This window comes from Homo sapiens, chromosome 12, assembly GCF_000001405.40.
Source record: "Homo sapiens chromosome 12, GRCh38.p14 Primary Assembly".
NCBI lineage: Eukaryota > Metazoa > Chordata > Mammalia > Primates > Hominidae > Homo > Homo sapiens.
The window spans coordinates 121,995,951-122,018,810 of record NC_000012.12 but is presented as its reverse complement, the minus strand read 5'-3'; the positions used below and the strand labels follow the sequence as shown (position 1 = coordinate 122,018,810).

The following is a 22,860-nucleotide window of genomic DNA, read 5'->3' as shown; positions in this document are numbered from 1 at the left end:
CTTTCTTCAAATGTCCTTTGTAAATCTAGTATGTCACTTTTAGTAGTTTCCTGTCTCCTGCAGGTATTTTTACACTTCTTTCTTTCAACAAAGCACAGTAGTTTTACAGCCTGTGTCTGATGATTCTAGTATTTGAAGTCTCCAAGAGTCTGTTTCTGCTAGGTCTTGCTCATGGTGTCATAGTTCCTTGTTATATGCCTGGTTCTCTTTGACCATGCTGGACACTATTTTAAAATTTATTCATAGGGATAATTTGAGGCCTCCCCCTAGAAATAATTTATATTTGCTTCTGCCAGGCCCCTCAGGTCACTGCTAGTCTGGGGTGACCTCAATCCTAGTTCAGGGTTTGTGAGCCCCCGACCACTCAGGTGATGCGAATCCTGGCCGCATAGTTGTGCAAGACTGGTTGACTTCTTGTAGTCTGAGGGTGGAGCCAGGGATGTGCTGCAGATGGTTTACAGGCTTCTGCTTCCCAGCTCTGTGTTTAGTGACCTCATGCTGAGAGTTTGGAATCAGCTGTGGAGGGAGTATTTACACCATGGAAATCGGCAAATGATTTATACATCAGGACCCTCCTTCCCCAGCCCCAGCCAGAGCTGGTGGTTGAACATTTACCAGCATACCATTGGTGGAGTCCGACAGGGCCCAGATTATCGTGGGAAAGGACTCCCGCTTAGTGTGAGTCGTGGATTTTAATTTTCTGGCCTTTTTTTGATTGAGACGGAGTCTTGCTCTGTCACCTAGGCTAGAGTGCAGTGACGTGATCTCAGCTCACTGCAAGCTCCGCCTCCTGGGTTCACACCATTTTCCTGCCTCAACCTCCCAAGTAGCTGGGACTACAGGCGCCCGCCACCACGCCTGGCTAATTTTTTGTATTTTTAGTAGAGACGGGGTTTCACCGTGTTAGCCAGGATGGTCTCGATCTCCCGACCTCGTGATCTGCCCACCTCAGCCTCCCAAAGTGCTGGGATTACAGGCATGAGCCACCGCGCCCAGCCTTTTTTTTTTTTTTTTTTTTTGAAACGGAGTCTCGCTCTGTTGCCCAGGCTGGAGTGCAGTGGCACAATCTCGGCTCACTGCAAGCTCCGCCTTCTGGGTTCACACCATTCTCTTGCCTCAACCTCCTGAGTAGCTGGGACTATAGACGCCCGCCACCACGCCCAGCTAATTTTTTTTTTTTTGTATTTTTAGCAGAGACAGGGTTTCACCATGTTAGCCAGGATGGTTTCGATCTCCTGACCTCATGATCCGCCCGCCTCAGCCTTCCAAAGTGCTGGGATTACAGGCGTGAGCCACCGCACCCAGCCTAATTTTCTGGCCTCTTGCCCCATAAAATCATTCATGGTCAAGTTCAAATATGCTAAGCTGGCAAAAGTAAAAGTGGCTTCCTTGCCAGATTACATTTCAGTTTTTTTCCTTCAATTTTGGCCTAATTTCTCACTATCTTCTTTCTTACAGTCAGCATGTAGTGGCTTTTAGGATATTTTCAAGTATTTTTCCTAGCATTTTTAGTTACTTCGAGAGTTAGTCTGAATAATTGTTTACTAGAAACTGGAAGTCAAGCTCTCTACAAATGTTTACTATTATTCTAGTTATGTTAAAAGAGTAAAAGAGAGGCCGGGTACAGTGGCTCACGCTTGTAATCCTAGCACTTTGGGAGACTGAGGCGGGCAGGCAGATCACCTGAGGTGAGAAGTTCAAGACCAGCCTGGCCAACATGGCGAAACCCCATCTTTACTAAAAATACAAAAATTACCCGGGTGTGGTGGCAGGTGCCTGTAATCCCAGCTACTCAGGAGGCTGAGGCAGGAGAATCACTTGAACTCGGGAGATGGAGGTCTCAGTGAGCCCAGATCACACCACTGCACTCCAGCCTGAGTAACAGAGCGAGACTCCATCTCAAAGAAAAGAAAAAAAAAAAAGAGTAAAAGAGGGATTCCAGGGTCACAGGAGTGAGTGAGTTAGTTATGGCTGTGTCAAATGTCCTAACCTCTCTGTGCCTCATCTGTAAAATGGGGATGAAAATAACTACACCCATTTCATAGGGTTCTTATGAAAATTACGCGCGCTAGACCAGGCGCGGTGGCTCATGCCTGTAATCCCAGCACTTTGGGAGGCCGAGGCGGGCGGATCACGAGGTCAGGAGATCGAAACCATCCTGGCTAACATGGTGAAACCCTGTCTCTACTAAAAATACAAAAAATTATCCGGGTGTGGTGGCGGGCGCCTGTAGTCCCAGCTACTCGGGAGGCTGAGGCAGGAGAATGGCATAAACCCAGGAGGTGGAGCTTGCAGTGAGCCGAGATCGCACCACTGCACTCCAGCCTGGGCGACAGAGCGAGTCTCCATCTCAAAAAACAAAATAAAAAGAGAATTATGCACACTATCTGTCAAGCACTTAGAGCAGTGTCACCACGCGGTAAGTGCTGCATCAGAAAGGACGGACGTGTGCCACATAGCAACGTTCCAGTCAACAACTGCATATACGATGGTGGTCCCAGAAAATTGTAACGGAGCTGATGACATTGGATCCATCCTCACGTCATAGTGCAATTACTTTCATTCATTGATTTAGAGACGGGGTCTTGCTCCCGCAATTACATTATTTATTTAGAGACAGGGTCTCACTCTGCCCAGGCTGGAGTGCAGTGGCAGGATCATGGCTCACTGCAGCCTCCCCCTCCCAGGCTCAAGTGATCCTCCTACCTCAGCCTCCCAAGTGGCTGGGACCACAGATGTGGGCCACCATGCCCAGCTATTTTTTATTTATTTATTTTTTTGAGACAGGGTCTCACTCTATTGCCCAGGTGGAGTGCAGTGGCAGGATCATTATTCACTGCAGCTTTGACCTTCTGGGCTGAAGCCATCCTCAGCCTCCTGAGGAGGCCGGGACTACAGGTGTGTGCCACCACGCTTTTTTTTTTCTTTATTGTAAGGCGGGGGGGGTCTCACTTTTTTGCCCAGACTGGTCTCAAACTCCTGGGCTCAAAGGATCTTCCTGCCTCAGCCTCCCAAAGTGCTGGGATTACACTTGTGAGCCACTATGCCCAGCCTAACTTTATTTTTTTATTTTTATTTTTATATTTTGAGATACAGTTTCGCTCTTGTTGCCCAGGCTGGAGTGCAATGGCATGATCATGGCTCACTGCAACCTCCGCCTCTCTGGTTCAAGCAATTCTCCTGCCTCAGCCTCCCAAGTAGCTGGGATTACAGGCACCCGCCACCACACCGGCTAATTTTTGTATTTTTGGTAGAGATGGGGTTTCACCATGTTGGTCAGGCTGGTCTTGAACTCCTGACCTCAGGTGATCCACCCGTCTCAGCCTCCCAAAGTGCTGGGATTACAGGCATGAGCCACCGCGCCTGGCTGTAACTGTATTTTTAAAATAAATCTAATGCAGCATAAGTGTACCATGTTTGTAAAGCCTATAGTAGTGGATAGTAATGTCCTGGGTCTTCACATTCTCTCACCACTCACTGACTCACCCAGAGCAACTTCTAGCCTGCAAGATCCATTCACGGTAAGTGCCTGTGCAGATGGACCATTTTTTATGTTTTACACTGTATTTTTGCTGTACCTTTTCTATGCTTAGAAATGTTTAGATACACAAACCCTTACCTTTGTGTTACAATTGCCTGCAGAATTCAGTACGGTACAGTATAGGATTCCCAGGCCGTACAGGTTTGTAGCTTAGGAGCAGTAGGCTGTACCATACAGCCTAGGTTTACAGTAGGTGACACCATCTGGGTTTGTGAAATCACACTCCGTGATGTTTGCACACTGATGAAATTGTCTGGGCTGGGCACCATGGCTGGCTCACACCTGTACTCCCAGCACTTTGGAGGCCAAAGTGGGAGGACCACTTGAGGCCAGGAGTTCAAGCCCAGTCTGGGCAACATAGCGAGACTTAGTCTTTACAAAAAAATGAAAAAAAAATCAGCCAGGTGTGGTGGTGCACCCCTGTAGTCCCAGTTACTCAGCCAGCTGAGGTGGAAGGATCGCTTGAGCCCAGGAGTTCAAGGCAGCAGTGAGCTGTGATCGTGCTACTGCCCTGCAGCCTGAGTGACAGAATGAGACTCTCTTAAAAAAACAGGAAAAAAATTGCCCAGCAATGCATTTCTCAGGACATATCCTCGTCGTTAAGCGACACATGACTATATTTGTTAGAGGACCTGTACGATTGTTCACGTCATCATTATAATCATCATAATGATTAAACATCATTACTATGTAATGACCCTCGCTAGGGACTGAAGTCAAACGATTCCCCTTTCCCTGCTTTCTAAATTCAAGTCTCCATCCACTCCTGCTGCTGTTCCTCCGGGGTGGAGGCTCGTTCACCACTGCGGGGTGGAGGCTCGTTCACCACTGCGGGGTGGAGGAGGTTTCCATCTCTGGAACAGAGATGTGTAATTGTGAGGCGCGTGCAGGCCCAGCCTCGGTGAGTCTCTGCAGCCTAGCAACTTGCAGCGGCAGCAGCAGCCTGTGGTTTCATAAACAGAGGTGCTCTGGTGTTTAGGGAGCAGGTCATTAGCCAGGCCTAGCAAAGAGGCAAAGCTTTAAGGAGAAAGCTCCAACCACAGAATGAAATATACTCCATTCCTCTGACACAGGAACAGAAAGGCGATGAAGCAAAGCACGACAAAGACCATCAAGGCCACCTCCCTCCTTTTACAGAAAAGAAAGCTACAATTCAATAGCTGCCCAGCCACTTAGCAGAGTTGTGGCCAGAACTCAGCTCTCCCGATTGGGGAACCGGGGCTTCCGGACTCCACACATGTCATAATGCTGATAGTTTGAAATCAGCTCTAATGGGAATATTTACACTATGGAAATTGGCAAGTGCTATACGTCAGGCCCCTCCCCTCTTCCCCACCCAGAGCTGGTTGATAAGCATTCAGCAACACGCAGCTGGTGGAACTCAGTGAGGTCCCAAATTATTAGCATTTTCTAAATGCAGAAAGTCTGGATGACCCAGTGGCTTGGAATAAAGTTGGGATCCTTCTACACACAGGCTCGGTACATTCTTAGGTCAGGGATCTAGAAGGCTGCCCAGACTTCTTCCCCTGTACTCTCCACATGTGGAGTGATTCCACCTGTTCAGCATCTGAACACCCTCCTAGTTCTGGGTGAGCCTTTGTGGGTGGAGGCAGCCCCTCCCCACCCCGCTACCGGAGCTAAAGGGGGTCTGTCTCTCTCTTCACTGGGGGCCCAGTTAAGTCCTGGGAATGGGTTCCAACCTTAGGTGTGGATGGTGGATGGTCTAGCCGGTTGATTTTTTAAAATAATGGTTCTATTAAGATATAATTCATGCAGCATAAAATTCACCCTTTTAAAGTGTATAATTCAGTGGGTTTTAGTATATTCACGGAGTTGTGCAACTGTCACCACAATCAATTTTAGAACATTTCATCATCCATAAAAGAAACCCTGTACCCATTAAACAGTCACATTAAACAGTCACTCTCTGTCCCCTCCCCACGGTCCCTGGTAACCACTAGTCTATATGGTTTCACGTAAATTAAGGATGTTTCACATGAATTGAGTCATACAATATGTGGCCTTTTAGGTCTGGCTTCTTTTGCTCAGCATGTTCTCAAAGATCATCTATCCGGTAGCATGCATTAATACATAATTTCTTCTTATAGCTAAATAATATTCCACTGTATAGATATACCACAATTTGTTTTTTCATTCTTTTGTTGATGGTTATGGGGTTGTTTCTACCTTTTGTTTTTCTTTTTTTTTTTTTTTTGAGATGGAGTCTCGCTCTGTCGCCCAGGCTGGAGTGCAATGGCATGATCTCAACTCACTGAAACCTCCGCCTCCCGAGTTCAAGCCATTCTCATGCCTCAGCCTTCCAAGTATCTGGGATTACAGGCACGAGCCACCATGCCCAGCTAATTTTTGTATTTTTAGTAGAGATGGGGTTTCACCATGTTGGCCGGGCTGGTCTCAAACACCTGATCTTAGGTGATCCACCTGCCTCTGCCTCCCAAAGTGCTGGGATTACGGGCGTGAGCCACCATGCCCTGCCTTGGTTTTGTTTTGTTTTGTTTTGTTTTGTTTTTTTCAAGAGATGAGGTCTCACTTGCCCAGGCTGGTCTCAAAGTTTCGAACTACTGGATTCAAGTAATTCTCCCACCCTCGCATCCCAAAGTGCTGGGATCTGTGATCTGTGGCATGAGCCATCGTGCCTGGTCTTACCTTACCTTTTAGCTACTATGATTCATGTTGCTGTGAACACTAATGTACATAATGGTCTTTATGTGTGGATGTATATTTTCCCTTCTCTTGGCCACATACCTAGGAAGGGAATTGCTGGGTCATATGGTAATTCTATATTTAACATTTTGAGGAACTGCCAAGCTACTTTCCAAAGCAGCTGCACCCTTTTACACTTCCACCGGCAATGTGGCAACTGCTCCGCATCCTCGCCAGCACTTGTTATTGTCTTTTTAAATTTTTAGCTATCCTAGTGGAGGTCAAGCGGGATCTTACTGTGGGATTGATTTTGACTTTGAGGTTTGAGGAAGGTAGGGACAATGGAGAAATGACTCACAGCAGACGTGGCCATTGGAAATCTTAACGAGATTGGAGGATCAAGTGCTCAGGGGTGGCAGCACCACTGGGACGTCCTGGCATCCTTTGGTTCCCACTCATCTCCAGGGCTTGCTTCTCCAGTGTCTCCATTGATTCTGTGAGTTGCCTGGTAGCTTTGAAATCAAGTCCTTTTCCACTTAAGCTAAGCAGAGTCAATTTCTATTACTGCAAACCAAAGATCATGATTGACACCAAATTGAAGCTGTCCCTCTCTCCTTCTCCTTCTTTGAGACAGAGTCTCACTCTGCTGCCCAGGCTGAAGTGCAGGGGTGCAAAACAGCTCACTGCACCTCAACTTCTCCAGGCTGAAGTGATCCTCCCACCTCAGCCTCTGGAGTAGCTGGGACCACAGCCTTGTGCCACCATGCCCAGCTAAATTTTGTTTTTATTTATTTATTTTTTTGAGATGGAGTCTTGCTCTGTCCCCCAGGCTGGAGTGCAGTGGCACAATCTTGGCTCACCAACCTCCACCTCCTGAGTTCAAGCAATTCTCCTGCCTCAGCTGCTTGAGTAGCTGGGATTACAGGTGCGTGCTAACATGTCCTGCTAATTTTTGTATTTTTAGTAAAGATGGGGTTTCACCATGTTGGCCAGGCTGGTCTCAAACTTCTGACCTCAGGTGATCCGCCCACCTTGACCTCCCAAAGTGCTGGGATTACAGGTGTGATCCACTGGGCCTAGCCTAAATTTTGTATTTTTAATAAAAATGGGGTTTCACCATATTGCCCAGGCTGGTCTCAAACTCCTAGGCCAAAACGATCCTCCTGCCTTGACCTCCCAAAGTGTTGGGATTACAGGCATGAGCCATGTTGCCCAGCTGATTTCATTTTTAAAAACTTGAAATCCCTGGAAATCTCAAAAGGATGAAAAAGTGCCAACTTAAGGACTTAAAGTAGGTGGGGCTGAAACCCACTGTGAGCCATTCAATCTGTGGCTGGTGTCATAGGAAGGAACACACTGACTTTGGGGCTAGTCTTTCCTGGGACCCTCTGAGTGACCGCCTATCCCACATCAGGACCCTGGAATATGAAGAAATGAGAAGTGGCCAGATCTTCCACTTGGAACACTTGACCAGCCTCCATTCTTCCTACCCACTTCATTTTTTCCTTTTTAAATTTAATAGAGTCGGGGTCTTGCTGTGTTGCCCAGGCTGGTATTGAACTCCTGGCTTCGAGCAATCTTCCCACCTCAGCCTCCCAAAGTGCTGGGATTACAGGTGTGAGCTGCTGCACCCCGCCACCTACCCACTTCCCATATGAAACATTCCTACTCAGGCTCATGAGGAAGAATCATACACTGGCAGTGGTAAAGGAACACTAGAGGTCATTCTAGATGCCTTGTCTTGAGCCTGCAGCATTCCCCAGGGTTGACCATGGAAAGCTTTGGTTCACTGAATGCATCTGGCTCTTCCGCAGCTCCCAGCTTTGGCTCACTTGGCTCCCTCTGGAACATTCTCCCCTCTCTGACCACTTCATCTAAACCTGCCCCCCTCTAGGGATTCCCTCTCACAGGGGCCGGGCTTTTCCCTCGTAGCTCTGAGCACCGTTTGCAAGTTTACATTAATGTGTTTGTTTAACATGAGCCCCCTAAAGACAACAGCCACTCTCTTGTTCACTCCAGATAGGCAGCCCTCACACAGGGCCCAGCACACAGTCAGCGTTTGTTGAATTCGTGAGTGGGTAATAAATGAAGTCCATCTCTCTCAGGTTTTTTTTTTCTTCTTTTTAGATGAAGTCTGGCTCTGTCACCCAGGCTGGAGTGCAGTGGCGCCATCTCGGCTCACTGCAATCTTTGCTTCCCAGGTTCAAGCGATTAACCTGTCTCAGCCTCCCAAGTAGCTGGGATTACAGGAGCGCGCCACCACAACCGGCTAATTTTTGTATTTTTAATAGAGACGGGGTTTTGCCATGTTGGTCAGGCTGATCTCAAACTTCTGACTTCAGGTGATCTGCCCACTTTGGCCTCCTAAAGTGCTGGGGCTACAGCCACTTCTTCCAGCCCCATCTCGCTCAGATTATAAAGGAAGAAATGAGATGCTTCCAGGGGAGGGGGGACGGCAGCCACCCTCGCATCCAGGAGGCATGTGCCCCACTCCCCCCATCCCCTCGCGGGTGCAGGGACAGCCGTGGTCCAGGCCCAGGGGACTACCCACTAAGCCTTCTCCAGGGCAGCCAGTCTGGCCGGTGGGCTGGGGGTGGTGCAGTCTGCAGCACATCCAGGTGGCGTGAAGTGCTCACTGGAGCCTGCCCTTGCTGTGGTCATGAAACTTGCTCCCCTCAAAAAACTCCACCAGCTTTAAAGATATGCAGCTTTAAAAAGATATGCAAAAATAAATACTATATTTACACTGATGTGTTTTATGACTTCCAATCAAAACAACAAGAGGACATGGGGAGGGGGCCTCAGACGATGGTCCGAGCCCTTTTTTTGTTGTTTTTGTTTTTTGAGACAGAGTCTCGCTCTGTCGCCCAGGCTGGAGTGCAGTGGCGCGATCTCGGCTCACTGCAAGCTCCGCCTCTCAGGTTGATGCCATTCTCCTGCCTCAGCCTCCCGAGTAGCTGGGACTACAGGTGCCTGCTACCACGCCCTGCTAAATTTTTTGTATTTTTTTTTTTTTTAGTAGAGATGGGGTTTCACCGTGTTGGCTAGGATGGGCTCGATCTCCTGACCTCGTGATCCGCCCGCCTCGGCCTCCCAAAGTGCTGGGATTACAGGCGTGAGCCACCGTGCCCAGCCATGGTCCAAGCCCTTTTGAGGCGGGGCAGCTTCAGTATTGACGCCCCCACCCTTGCCTCACGGCATCACTTGCAATTTCACACTCTCAGGGAGGGCAGTGATGCCAGTGCTGGACGACTTTCCTGGGGCTGATGCCTCACGCCTGGGCACTGATAAATGTGAGTCCGCCTTGGCATCAGTGCACTCGGGAGAACACCAGCTTCGGGGCACCGAGACCCGCAGCTCACTGTCCCACCAGTCAGCATCTCGCTGCCGCTGAACAGTGTTGGATCAACCGGCTTTTCTTTTTTTTTTTTTAATATTCCTTCCAGCTAAGCTAGCAGAGGGCGGTTACATGACATATGAGCAGGGTGGCAACTACTGTCAACTCCCAGCGCCTGGCATCTATTTATTACAGTCAATTTGGAAATAGCTGCCCGCAAGGGAACTGCTGGCCAAATCCCTAAAGAACATGCTCAAGCCGAAAACACCAGTGTCTCAGGCAGCCACAGCTTGAGGACACAGATGTTTAAAAAAAGACCTTTTTGTTTGCATCACCTCGAAGCACAGCAGAAGGCCAGGTCTGCACAGGCCAGGCAGCCAGTGAGGGGACCAGGTGCTGTGGCGCCGGCAGGAGAATCTGCTCAAGAATTGAAAGCACAGAGCAGATAGTGGAAATAATTCAGGGGTGACTGAGTCAGAAAGGTGGTACAGATTTCATTTTTTAAAAACTTTATGGCCGGGCGCGGTGGCTCACGCCTGTAATCCCAGCACTTTGGGAGGCCGAAGCTGGCGGATCATGAGGTCAAGAGATCGAGACCATCCTGGCTAACATGGTGAAACCCCATCTCTACTAAAAATATAAAAAATTAGCCGGGCATAGTGGCAGGCGTCTGTAGTCCCAGCTGGCTGAGGCAGGAGAATGGCAAGAACCCGGGAGGCGGAGGTTGCAGTGAGCCAAGATCACGCCACTGCACTCCAGCCTAGGTGACAGAGCGAGACTCCATCTCAAAAAATAAAAATAAAAATAAAAATAAATAAAAACTTTATGTTGAAATAATTTTAGGCTTGCCAAGATAGTGCCATGATCCCTAGACCCTTCACCCAGTTTCCCTAATGTGAACATCTTACACAACTGTGATACACTGAGCAAAACTCAGAAATTTTGTTTTGAGATAGGATCTCACTCTGTCACCCAGGCTGGAGTGCAGTGGCACGATCACGGCTCACTACGGCCTCAACCTCCCAGGCTCAAGTGATCCTCTGGCCTCAGCCTCCTGACTAGCTGAGACCACAGGCATGCTCCACCATGTCCAGCTAATTTTAAAAAAATGTTTTGTAGAGACGGGGTCTCCCTATGTTGCCCAGGCAGATTTTGAACTCCTGGGCTCAAGTGATCCTCCCAGCTCGGCTGCCCAAAGTGCTGGGATTACAGGTGTAAGCCACTGCGCACCGCCCAAAACTCAGAAATTAATATTGGTGCAACACTGTTAACTAAACCACAGACTTTAGCTGGATTTCACCAGTTTTTCCACTGATGTCCTTTTTCTGTTTCAGGAACGGATCCAGGTGTCCACACTGCATTTAGTTGTCATGGTTCCGTCTCTTCTGGTCTGTGAGAGTTTCTCCATCTTTCCTTGTCTGTCATGACTTTGACATTTTTTGAAGAGTGCCGGTCAGGTGTTTGGTACAGATTTGTAGTATTTGTGGAAATCTGCTGGAATGAGTACCCTTGGCCTACGAGGCAGAGTCGGGGGTGGTGAGCTACACCCTGTGGGACAAATCTAGGCTGCTGCCTGTGTTTGCAGGTCTCCGAGCTAAGAATGGGTTTCACATTTTTAAATGGTTGAAAAAAAAACAAAAGACAAATAATAGTCCATGATATGTGGAAATTATCATGAAATCCAAATGTCAGTGTCCATAGGTGAAGTGGGGCTGGGAGGCAGCCACGGGCATTCTTTTCTGTGTTGTCCCTGGGGGCTTTTGCACTACAATGGCAGGATTGGGAAGTCACTACGGAGGCCCTTTGGCCCCAAGAGCCTCAATATTTACTCCCTGGCCCTTGACAGGGGAGGTTTGCCCAGCCTGATGAGGGCCCTATAAGGACCTGCCATTGGCCTTCATTCCAAAGCTAAGTCAGCTATGAAAAGAGCATGGAGTGGCTAGGCACAGTGGCTCACGCCTGTAATCTCAACACTTTGGGAGGCCGAGGTGGGTGGATCACCTGAGGTCAGGAGTTTGAGACCAGCCTGGCCAACATGGTGAAACCCCATCTCTACTAAAAATACAAAAATTAGCCAGGTGTGGTGCCGCAGGCCTGTAATCCCAGCCACTTGGAAGGCTGAGGCAGGAGAATCACTTGAACCTGGGAGGCGGAGGTTGCAATGAGCCGAGATTGTGCCACTGCACTGCAGCCTGGGTGACAGAGCGGCAAAAAAAAAAAAAAAGAAAAGAGCAGGGAGGCTTCAAATTCATTCATTCCATCATTCCACAAATACTTGTTGAGAGCTCATCGTCAAAACTAGGAGAGACCCCTATTTGAGCAAACGCTAACTCTTGCTCAAACTCTGGGTTTGGGAGAGGTTAATTTGCACCAAATGTCTTCCTGATTCTCGGGCACAGTTTCTGCTGTGATAATAATAGCTGCTGTCATATTTGGAGCTCTACCCTGTGCCAATAACGCTTTACTTGCACCATCTCTTCTCATCCGCACCACCACCGCAGGAGTTGCTCCGGGAGGAAACTGAGGTCTAAGAGCTTAGCCACACCCAAGGGCGCACAGGTGGCTAGAAAGTTGCAGAAGCTGAACAGGAGCGCGGCAAGTCCATGGGCTCCCAGCGCAGACGCTGTGCGTGCGAGGCCCTCACCTGCAGGTGGGACCGGGTCTGGAGCAGAGAGCTGGCGCCGGGGAGGCTCTTGGTGGTTCCTGATCCAGAACTCACAAACCGGGATGTAAGAGTCAGCCGGCCACAAGCCCCGTGTGAAACGCACAGGAATCTTTCTGCAAAGGAGCATCACAGTGTTTTTGGTGTTCAGCATTTAGTCCCTAAGTGTGATGCATGAGCAAGCTCCGCGACGCTGTCTTCTTTGCCATCCCTTCCTGTTGTCGCTGCCTTGCCACCCTACTGCTGGAAGCCTGAGCTCTCTGCACTGTATCCTCTTTCCTGCTGATGGGACCGGGCCACTGGGTCCTCCCTTTTCTCATCTTTGAGGCCAACAGGCTGGGCCTGCCCTGATGAGAGGTGAAGAGGCCCTCCTGGAGCTGAAAGGGGCAATTGGCTGTGCCCTGCTTTTGTCAAGGAAGTTGGGAGACAACAAAACCCAAGCACCTTGGCCAGGGCGGTGGCTCACATCTGTAATCCCAGAACTTTGGGAGGCCAAGGCAGGTGGATCACCTGAGGTCAGGAGTTCGAGACCAGCCTGGCCAACGCGGTGAAATCCCATCTCTACTGAAAATAGAAAAATTAGCCAGGCATGGTGGTGTGTGCCTGTAATCCCAGCTGTATCCTGGGAGGCTGAGGCAGGAGAATCACTTGAACCTGGGACATAATCTGAGTTATCTCAGATGCTAGTTTCTCTGGTGAAGGTTGCAGTGAGCCGAGACTGCACCACTGCACTCCAGCCTGTGCGACAGAGCGAGACTCTGTCTCAAAAAAAAAAAAAAAAAAAAAAATTAGCCAGGCATGGTGGCTGGTGGCACATGCCTGTAATCCCAGCTACTTAGGAGGCTGAGGCACAAAAATTGCTTGAACCCAAGAGGCGGAGGTTGCAGTGAGCTGAGATCGCACCACTGCACTCCAGCCTGGGTGGCAGAGCCAGACTCCATCTCAAAAACGAAAAACCAAACAACCCACAAACACCTGCAGAAAGAGGTTCCCAGGTAAGAAGGGTCCCCCTGCCAGGCTGGGCTGGGTGTGGGGTGGGATGCCATTCGTGCCAATCCTGCTGTCCATGGTGATTTTGGTCTCCTCAGTGAACATAACCGTAACCATGATCCATAACCAGGACCTCCACCTCCCCGCTCTCTGAGTCCAAAGGAGATGCTGAAGCCGGATGGGCAGAGAGAAAGAGCATCTGCCTGCGCTAGGCAGTGTCCCAGCTTAATGAACCTGCCATAGTGGGTCCAACTGACCACAGGTCGGTTCTGCTCAAGACAATTCCAATACATGCCATCAATCAGAACCAAATCAGAGGGCGCCAGATTCAATGAATGAAGCCCCCGGTTGGTGAGAGACTGCATCCAATTCCGAGTTATTTTTTGAAGAGAACAAGTCACTTGAGAGTTTCTTGTTCCCTAAAATGTCCCCAGGAACTTTTTAACTGGCTTGATACTAGATCTCCTAAGCCCTCAGCAGCTGCAAAATTGATTCATAAAGCTTGTTTTTCTTTTCATGTTTTTTAAAAAGAACAAAATGTAAATTAGGTTGCAAAGCCCTGGTGACATGATCTGACAAGCTGGCACCGGCAGAACCTTGGCCCGTGCTGTCTGCCCCAAGGTCACAGTGACACAGCCTGGTTTGGGGTAGACAGTTCCGTTCCACGTTCCGGGGCGTTCCAAAGATTCTCACCATGCCAGATTTCCAGCTGGACCCCACGTAGTGGAGGGGGCTTCGTGCATGAGTAAGGATGTGGTTGTTATTCTGTTTCTCTGCCACGGAATGTTCCTTCCGAGAAAGGCACTTTAAGTGGATCAGAAATGTTATCTCAGATGCTAGTTTCTCTGAGGAAGAAGCTGGTCTAGGGGGTGTGTTGGACGGAGTGTGTTGGAGAATGACATCTGGCACCTTTGCCTGAATGAGGCCTCAGAACGGATGACAAAACTCCAAAGTCAGACTAACTCTCATCTGTTCACACTACAATGCTATGCTATTTTCAAGGCCAAAATACTGCTATAAACTTAGTAACGCCCCCTGAACGTCCCAGAGCTGGGGAACCGGCCCCTATTTTTGCCTACTACATGTTTTGCGGCCCAGCAGAGTGTGAGGCGGCCAAGCCACCACACTGGTGAGTGTGGGTGCGAGGGAGGCCCCGGCCTCTGCTGGGCGGGGCTGCTCTGTGGTTTCTGGCGCAGGTGCAGCGTGAACAGGCTCGGGGGCGCTCAGAGGGGCTTCTGCATTCTCCTGGCAGCTGCCACCGGGGTTAAGCATGGCTAATGATGCTCTTTATAACGGTCACACACCACCACTTGGGTGTTTTGCTGATAAGAAGCCACAATCTGGGACTCTCAGGAGCCCGGCGCACCCGGCACCCCCACCCCAGCCCCACAACAGGCAGGGGTGATCCACACTGGGCCACACTGGGCGGAGGGTCCAGGTGGCCCTGCAGGGAAAGGGAATGAGGCCATGGACCATCATTTCCCTGGACCACATGTGTCGCGAGGGAGGCCTGCTGCTGGCTGAGGACCCCTCTGCCCCCTGAGACCACGCCCCCTCCATATCCCGTGCAAACCCCATCCAGGCAGCATCACCAGAGACCCAGAGATCCAGCCACCATGTACATCCAGCTGCCAGGGTTTTTCTCGCCTCCGCCCACTTTTCTATTTCAGAAACAGTGGAATGTCCAACTTTGTGAATTCCATTGCTCACCAGAAACTTGCTTTAATGTCTAAATGTTCTAAAGATGAGAGGGGGGAGGGAAATGCATAAAAAGCAGTGCCTCATGGAAAACACACACATGTGCATGCACACACACCCAAAGTCCTTTGTGCTTTAAACATTCCTGGTAACTTCACTGACCATCCTGGCCGGAATCTTCTGAAATGGTTAAGCCAAGAATTTCAGTCGCGAATATTTCTGCAGTGATTTCGTCTGGAAGTTCTTCTTCAAGGCAAATTTCTGAACCTAGCCAAAACAAGAAAAGAACACCAAATGCCTTCATGATGATTATGTTTCTTTCTTTTTTGGGTGAGGGGAGGGGTTTGAGACAGGGCCTTGCTCTGTTGCCCAGGCTGGAGTGCAGTGACACGATCATAGCTCACTGCAGCCTTGAACTCCTGGGGTCAAGTGATCCTCCCACCTCAGCCTCCCAAGTAGCTGGGACTACAGGCACACGCCACCACGCCCAGCTTATTTTAAAATTTTTTTGTAGAGATGGGGTCTCGCTATGTTACCCAGGCTGATCTCAAACTGCTGGCTTCAAGTGATCCTCCCACCTCAGACTCCCAAAGCGCTGGGATTACAGCTACCGCATCTGGCCTCAATGACTATGTTTCTAACTCAGGAGGATTTTCCAAAAACACAAGGAAATGCTACTAAACAAAAACAAGAGGGGCTTTGTGCTGTGATTTGGCTTTGATTCCTTGAAAAACTCTGGGTGGAAATTGCTTAAAAATCTCTCCTTTACGGAACAGAACGCTGTTAACCAAATCTCTGCAAACCTTACTGGAAAGCCTTAACCACATGGTATGATTGATTTTTCTGTTTCAAGATGCCTGGGAACACAGCAGAAATATATAACAATCAGGAAAGGTACATTCTGAGATCTGAAGCACATAAAGGAATGGGGTAGGGAGAGCTTGCAGGTTGGGAATGACCTGTTAGCTACTGGAGTCTGAAATTATCTGAGTTCAGGGACTTTGTTTAATTTGATGTGGGGAATGGACAATAAAAGGAGAGGGAAAAGGGGAATGGGTGAGGGGTCTTTGCACCCTCCTCAGTCTTGGTGATGGTGGTGGGATCTGACCATCCCCGGGCTTGTCAGCAGAGTTGCTCCTGTACCAGTGAGCCTAGAAGAGCCGTTTAGATTGGTTCCTCCTGAGCTGAAAGTCACGGCCCTAACTTCAGGTCCAGTGCACGAAAAGGTGAAAAATACTTAGGCTATAGCAGGAAGGGACAGGAGGATGATCTTTAAAAACCTGAAAGTTTTGGCAGCTTGTAGCTGGGCTTGTACTGCCCACCAAGTTGATGCTCTCTCCTTCTCCAAATCTTTCTCTCTCTCTCTCTCTTTTTTAATTGAGACAGGCTCTCACTCTGTTGCCCAGGCTGGAGTACAGTGGCACAATCCTCACTCACCGCAGCCGTGAACACCTGGGCCCAAGTCATCCTCCCACTTAAGCCTCCTGAGTAGCTGGGACTAAAAGCATACACCGCTATGCCCAGCTAATTGTTTTGTTTTGCTTTAATTAATTAATTAATTTAGAGACGGAGTTTTGCTCTTGTCACCCAGGCTAGAGTGCAATGGTGTGATCTCGGCTCACTGCAACCTCCACCTCCTGGATTCAAGCGATTCTCCTGCCCCAGCCTCCCAAGTAACTGGGATTACAGGTGTGTGCCACCATGCTTGGCTAATTTTCGTATTTTTAGTAGAGATGGGATTTCACCATGTTGGTCAGGCTGGTCTTGAACTCCTGACCTCATGTGATCCACCCTCCTCGGCCTCCCAAAGCATTGGGATTACAGGCGTGAGCCACTGCGCCCAGCCTGGTTTTTTTTTTGTAGAGATGGGATCTCGCTATGTTGCCCAGGCCAGTCTCAAATTCTGAACCTCAAGCGATTCTCCTGCCTTGGCCTCCCAAAGTGCTGGAATTACAGGCGTGAGCCATGGTGCCTGGCCCCCAAGTCTCTCTTTACATACCTATTCTCCTGAAACAGCTGTCAAACTGGATCCTCTACGGGTGGCCAATATTCACCCACCCAAGCCGGCAAGATGACAGGTCAGTGGAACAAAGGGAAAATAAGCCCAGAAGAAACAAAAGGACGGACAGAGCGCGGGAACAAAAGCCACCACTCACTGTTCTTTTCATAACTTATTCATGTGGGATTCCCAACAGACATGCTTTGTTATGTGCAGTCTTAGGGAGAGTGGCTTGCACCGATCAGGAGAAATAAATGTACTGAAGTCTACAACAAATCAGTGAGCCACAGCTACATGCCCAGACAAAGCCAGCTGGGGTACCTTTGACGGAGCAGGTTGCAGGCTCGGATTTCCATCCCTCGGGATTCAGGCCAAACAGTGAAGCAAAGCAATCCAACATCTCCTCCTCCGTCATATGCTCACCTGTGTGTCAAAGAGTGAGAAGGTGATTGTTTAACTCTTGAGGCTAAGCATACTGTCAGGGCTTAGCGTTATTATTCAGAGGTCTTAAAGAGAATTATCCCACTATTTTTTTTTCTTTTACTCAATTGAAAAAAAAATTTAGGCTGGGCGTGGTGGCTCATGCCTGTAATCCCAGCACTTGCAGAGGCCAAGGTGGGCGTATCACTTGAGGTCAGGAGTTCGAGACCAGCCTGGCCAACATGGTGAAACCCCATCTCTACTAAAAATACAAAAATTAGCCGGGTGTGGTGGCGCGGCCTGTAATCCCAGCTACTCGGGAGGCTGAGACAGGAGAATTGCTTGAACCCTGGAGTTGGAGGTTGCAGTGAACTGAGATCGTGCCACTGCAGTTCAGCCTGGGCAACAGAGCGAGACTCTGTCTCAAAAAAAAAAAAAAAAAAAGCAACAAAAACAATAAAAACTTTTCTGGTGGAGATGAAGTCTTGCTATGTTGGGCCAGGCTGGTCTCGAACTCCTGGGCTCAAGTGATCTTCCTGCCTCAGCCTCTGAAACTGCTGGGATTACAGGTGTGAGCCACTGCGCCCAGCCCCTTTTCTTTAGACACAAAAATGATCTAGAGTCCCATGGTACTGTCACATATGCTTCCTAATGGTGTTAAACAGGGTCCTCCAGGCAAGGAACATACATGGGGCTGGCATAGAGAAATAGGACAGCATGCTGCGGGGACCAGGCTCTGCTTCATTTCAAATTCCCTCCTCTCAGAACCACCCACTTGGACTAAGATGAAACTGTCATCCCAAGAGAGTTTACTTGACATCCTCATGTACAATAATGAGAAACATAGTAGGTAAAAATTAAAAAGTTTACTTTGGTGTGGTTGCATTTCACAAATGCAATCCAAATATTTGTTTTCTTTTCTTTTCTTTTTTTCTTTCTTTTTTTTTTTTTTGACAGTCTCGCTCTGTCACCCAGCCTGAACTGCAGTGGCGTGATCTTGGCTCACTGCAACCTCCACCTCCCGGGTTCAAGCAATTCTCCTGCCTCAGCCTCCCAAGTAGCTGGGATTACAGGCGTGTGCCACCATACCCGGCTAATTTTTGTATTTTTAGTAGAGATGGGGTTTCACTGTGTTGGCCAGGCTGGTCTTGAACTTCTGACCTCAAGCAATCCGCCCGCCTCGGCCTCCCAAAGTGCTGGGATTACAGGCATGAGCCACTGCGCCCGGCCCCAACCCAAATCTTATGACAGCCCAGGGAGATGGATCAGCTGGCATTTTTATTCCCATTTTACAAGTGAGGATGCCGAGTCTTGCTGAGGCTCAGGTAGTTGCAACACGAATCACATTCTTTTGCTTTCTAGCTCCGGGTCCCTCCCATTACTTCGTACTTGCCAGGGATGCAGGTGGGTCAGCCAGACCCCTCATGGCTCAAATCTGGTCAAATCACCTCTTTCATGAAAGATGGAGCTCCACAGGGGCTGGCTCCCCAAACTCAGTTCTCTACACTGGGAATGGCCCCAGGATGTTACCAGACATCCTGATGTATGTGCTTACCTTTAGTAACGAGCAGTCTCAGGAAGTCCTCTCTTCGAATGGCCTTTTTCCCTTTGGAGTTGGTATAACCGAGCACCTCAAAGCTCTTGTGGATGCCACTCATGGTGTTACCAAAAGGTGGCTTGTGGTTAAGGTACACTTTTAGGAAATCTGGTAAGTTGATCTTGTCGATTAGCTTTCCAGTGTCCACATATTCACCAAATTTGATTTCGTTAAATATATCATCAATCTAGGGGAAAGATGGGGAAAAAAAAAAGACCACAGTAAATAGAAAAGGCACCAGGATAGATTTCTAAAAATTGGACAGTAGGGCTGGTGCAGCGGCTCATGCCTGTAATCCTAGCACTTTGGGAGGCCGTGGCCAAAGGATCACTTGAGGCCAGGAGTTTGAGACCAGCCTGGCCAACATGGTGAAACCCTGTCTCTACTAAAAATACAAAAATTAGCCTGGCACAGTATGAGAATCACTTGAACCCTGGAAGTTGAGGTTACAGTGAGCCAAGAACGTGCCACTGCACTCCAGCCTGGGCAACAGAGTGAAACTCTGTCTCGGCGGGGGGAAAAAAAAAGAATACTAATTTTCCACAAACTGCACAAAAATAGAGGAAAAAGGAATACTTTCCAATTATTTTAGATGGAAAAATCCTCCAGAAAATACAAGAAATTAAATCCAGGAGCATACAAAATGATTGTGCACCATGATCAAGTGGGATTTATCCCAAGAATGCAAGGTTGGTTTAACATGTCAACCTCAATTAATATAATACATTATTATTAACAGAATAAAGGACAGAAACCACATGATCATCTAAACAGACATAGAAAAAAAGCATTTAACAAAATCTAACAACTTTACATGGTAAAAACACTCAACAAACTAGGAATAGAAAGAAGCTTCCTCAACCCAATAACGGGCATGTGTGAAAAACCCACAGCTAACATCATACTTAATGATGAAGGACTAAATGCTTTCTCCTCCTAAGATCAGAAAAAAAGACAAGGATGTCCACTCTCACCACTTCCCCCTTTTTTTTTTTTTTTTTTTTTTTTTTTTTGATACAGGGTCTCACTCTTTGACCCAGACTGGAGTGCAGTGAGGCAACCTCTGCTCACTGTAGCCTTGACCTCTCAGGTTCAGGCGATCCTCTCACCTCAGCCTCCAGAGTTCCTGGGACTATAGGCATGCTTGACCATGCCTGGCTAATTTTTGTATTTTTTTTTAGAGACGGGGTTTCACCATGTTGCCCAGGCTGGTCTCAAACTCCTGGGCTCAAGCAATCTGCCCACCTTGGTCTCCCAATGTGCTGGGATTACAGGCATGAGCCACCTGGCACCACTTCCATTCCACACTGTCCTGGAGGTTCTAGCCAGGGAAATTAGGCAGGAAAAGAAGATAAAAGGCACCCAGAATTGAATGGGAGAAGCAAAACTATCTCTATTTGCAGATAACACAATCATATATATATATATATATATATATATATATATATATATATATATATATATATATATTACACTAAAAACTATTAGAACTGGTAAACAACTTCAGCAAGGTTGCAGGGTATAAGATCAATAATATAAACATCAATTATAGGCCAGGTGCAGTGGCTCACCCCTGTAATCCCATCACTTTGGGAGGCTGAGGCTGGAGGATTGCTTGAGGCCAGGAGTTCGAGACCAGCTTGGGCAACATATTAAAAGACCCTGCTTCTACAGAAAACAAAAAATTAATCAGGCATGTGGCATGCACCTATGGTTCCAGCTACTCAGGGGGCTGAGGTGGGAGGACTGCTTGAGCCCACAAGTTCGAGGCTGCAGTGAGCCCATGATCATGCCACTGCACTCCAGCCTGGGACACAAAGTGAGACCCTGTCTTAAAAAAAAAATCAATTGAGGCCGGGCATGGTGGCTCAGGCTTGTAATTCCAGCACTCTGGGAGGCCAAGGTGGGTAGATCACCTGAGGTCAGGAGTTCAAGACCAGCCTGGCCAACACGGTGAAAATCTGTCTCCACTAAAAATACGAAATTAGCCCGGCGTGGTAGCGTATGCCTATAGTCCCAGCTACTCGGGGGGCTGAGGCAGGAGAATCGCTTGAACTGGGGAGGTGGAGGCTGTAGTGAGCTGAGATGGCGCCATTACACTCCAGCCTGGGTGACAAGTGCAAAACTCTAACTCAAAAAAAAAAAAACAAACTATTGTATTTCTTTACACACTAGCAGTGAACAGCACAATAATTATAATAAATTAATAAAACAATTCCAATTATAATAGGATTAAGAAGAATAAAGTACTTAGGAATCAATTTAACAAAAATGCAAGATTTGTGCTCTAAAAGCTACAAAATATTGTAAAAAAAAAAAAAACTAAAGAAAACATAAGTAAATGGAAAGACTTTCCATATTCAGGGATTGGAAGACTTAAATTTTTTTTCTTTAAGAGACAGAATCTCGCTCTATCACCCAGGCTGCAGCACAGCTGCCTCCCAAAGTGTAGGGATGCAGGAGTGAGCCATCATGCATGCCTTTTTTTTTTTTTTTTTTTTGAGAGATGATGGTCAGGAACGGTGACTCACACCTTGCCATCTCAGCATTTTGGGAGGCTGGGACAGGAGAACTGCTTGAACCCAGGAACTAGAGACCAGCCTGCACAACCTGGTGAAACTCTGTCTCTACAAAAAATACAAAAATGAGCCGGGTGTTGTGGCGTACGCCTTTGCATTCACGCATGTGCTGTTCCCTCGTGCCATCTCACTACCTCCTCGCCCCATGTACTGGCTACTGAATTTTCCATTTGCACCACTTCACTGCTCTATGTGGTTCATCACATGCGCGTGGATCCCTAACACACATGCTTCCTTTTGCTTTAAAGACGCCTTTAAAAGGAGATCATCTTAAACCCAGTCACTTGTTGCTCTCGAGTTGTCACCCGCAGGTTACAGATACTGGCTCATGGCATTTCATTCCCTTTCAGACTTCAGTTGCTTTGATTCATGCATCTGGATGAAGCAAAAAGAAAATGTGACAACTTGTCACTGCAAGAACTTAAAAACACCCTCCAGTGGGGCTGCACCAGGCCACCTCACTTTAGAGTGTGCACAGCTTCCCATCAGAGATAAAAGCTGTGACTCCAGGCTCCTAAATACCTTTTTGATAAGGGCTTTCCTTTTGGCCACCAGCAGATGATCGGGTGATGGTGTTACTACTGCCAACTCCTACAGAGCCCAAGCCCATGAGATCTTTTAGACGTTCATTCTTTGCAGCTTAAAAAAATAATAATTTAAAAAATTTTCCCCTTCTCATTTGGAAAGTTTGTGTATTTTCTAATTTTTCTCGAATGAGAAAAGGGTGCTGACATGCCTAGGTTTAAGTGGAAATGCGGGGCCAGTTAACACAGGACTCCTCACAGGACGCCTTATGTCACTGGCAAAACACGAGGAAGAGAGAAATATAATAAATAAAGAAACAAACAAAACTGTTCCTCACTGCCGTCAGCCTCTCTCTGTGCAGTATTTTTGTACCGTGCATGTAGCAGTCAGCTGAAATGCAGAAACCCCAATTATACCAGTGAAAGGGCTAGGAATTAGTAACTTATTTTAGCATTTACATTTTAACCTAGGATGTTTCCCAATAAACTGTGGGGTTTGGAATTTTACAAAGAAAGAATAAGAGCAACAGAGAAGTGGGAACCAATTTGCTTCCTCTCCTCCCTGCTCCTGCCAAAGAACAGGCATTCTACTTTGGTCTGTGGGAATGAACCAGGAATTTAATCTCTATTTGTACACATTACTTATCAATCGGTAACCAATTTCTCCATGTCCCACTTAAAAAATGTGGAACAAAAATTCAGAGGACACCAGTTTGCAGCACTGCCAAGCTACCAACCTATCTCAAGTACCCTTCACCCTCACATCTTGGTCTGGCCTCAAGTATCAAGAAAAAAATAAAAATCTCTTGTAATCCAACCATCCAATCACAATTTCGGTGAGATTTGGGG

At 47.9% G+C, this 22,860-nt stretch overlaps 1 protein-coding gene and 1 long non-coding RNA gene across 2 annotated transcripts in view; one reads left to right on the top strand and one right to left on the bottom strand.

Annotated features, from left to right (window-relative positions):
- LOC124903038 (uncharacterized) lies at positions 13,111 to 22,338 on the top strand. The gene is made up of 2 exons (XR_007063499.1): positions 13,111 to 13,199; positions 21,838 to 22,338. It is a non-coding gene; the product is annotated as an uncharacterized LOC124903038 (long non-coding RNA).
- The window catches only part of CFAP251 (cilia and flagella associated protein 251), an 85,328-nt gene continuing 77,359 nt past the window's right edge, over positions 14,892 to 22,860 (bottom strand). Inside the window, exons 20-22 of the mRNA NM_144668.6 lie at positions 18,867 to 19,095; positions 17,213 to 17,314; positions 14,892 to 15,159 (exon numbers count right to left, since the gene is read on the bottom strand). Coding sequence (NP_653269.3) covers positions 15,047 to 15,159; positions 17,213 to 17,314; positions 18,867 to 19,095 — 444 coding nt within the window. The 3' untranslated portion in view covers positions 14,892 to 15,046. The remainder of the gene's footprint in view (positions 15,160 to 17,212; positions 17,315 to 18,866; positions 19,096 to 22,860) is intronic.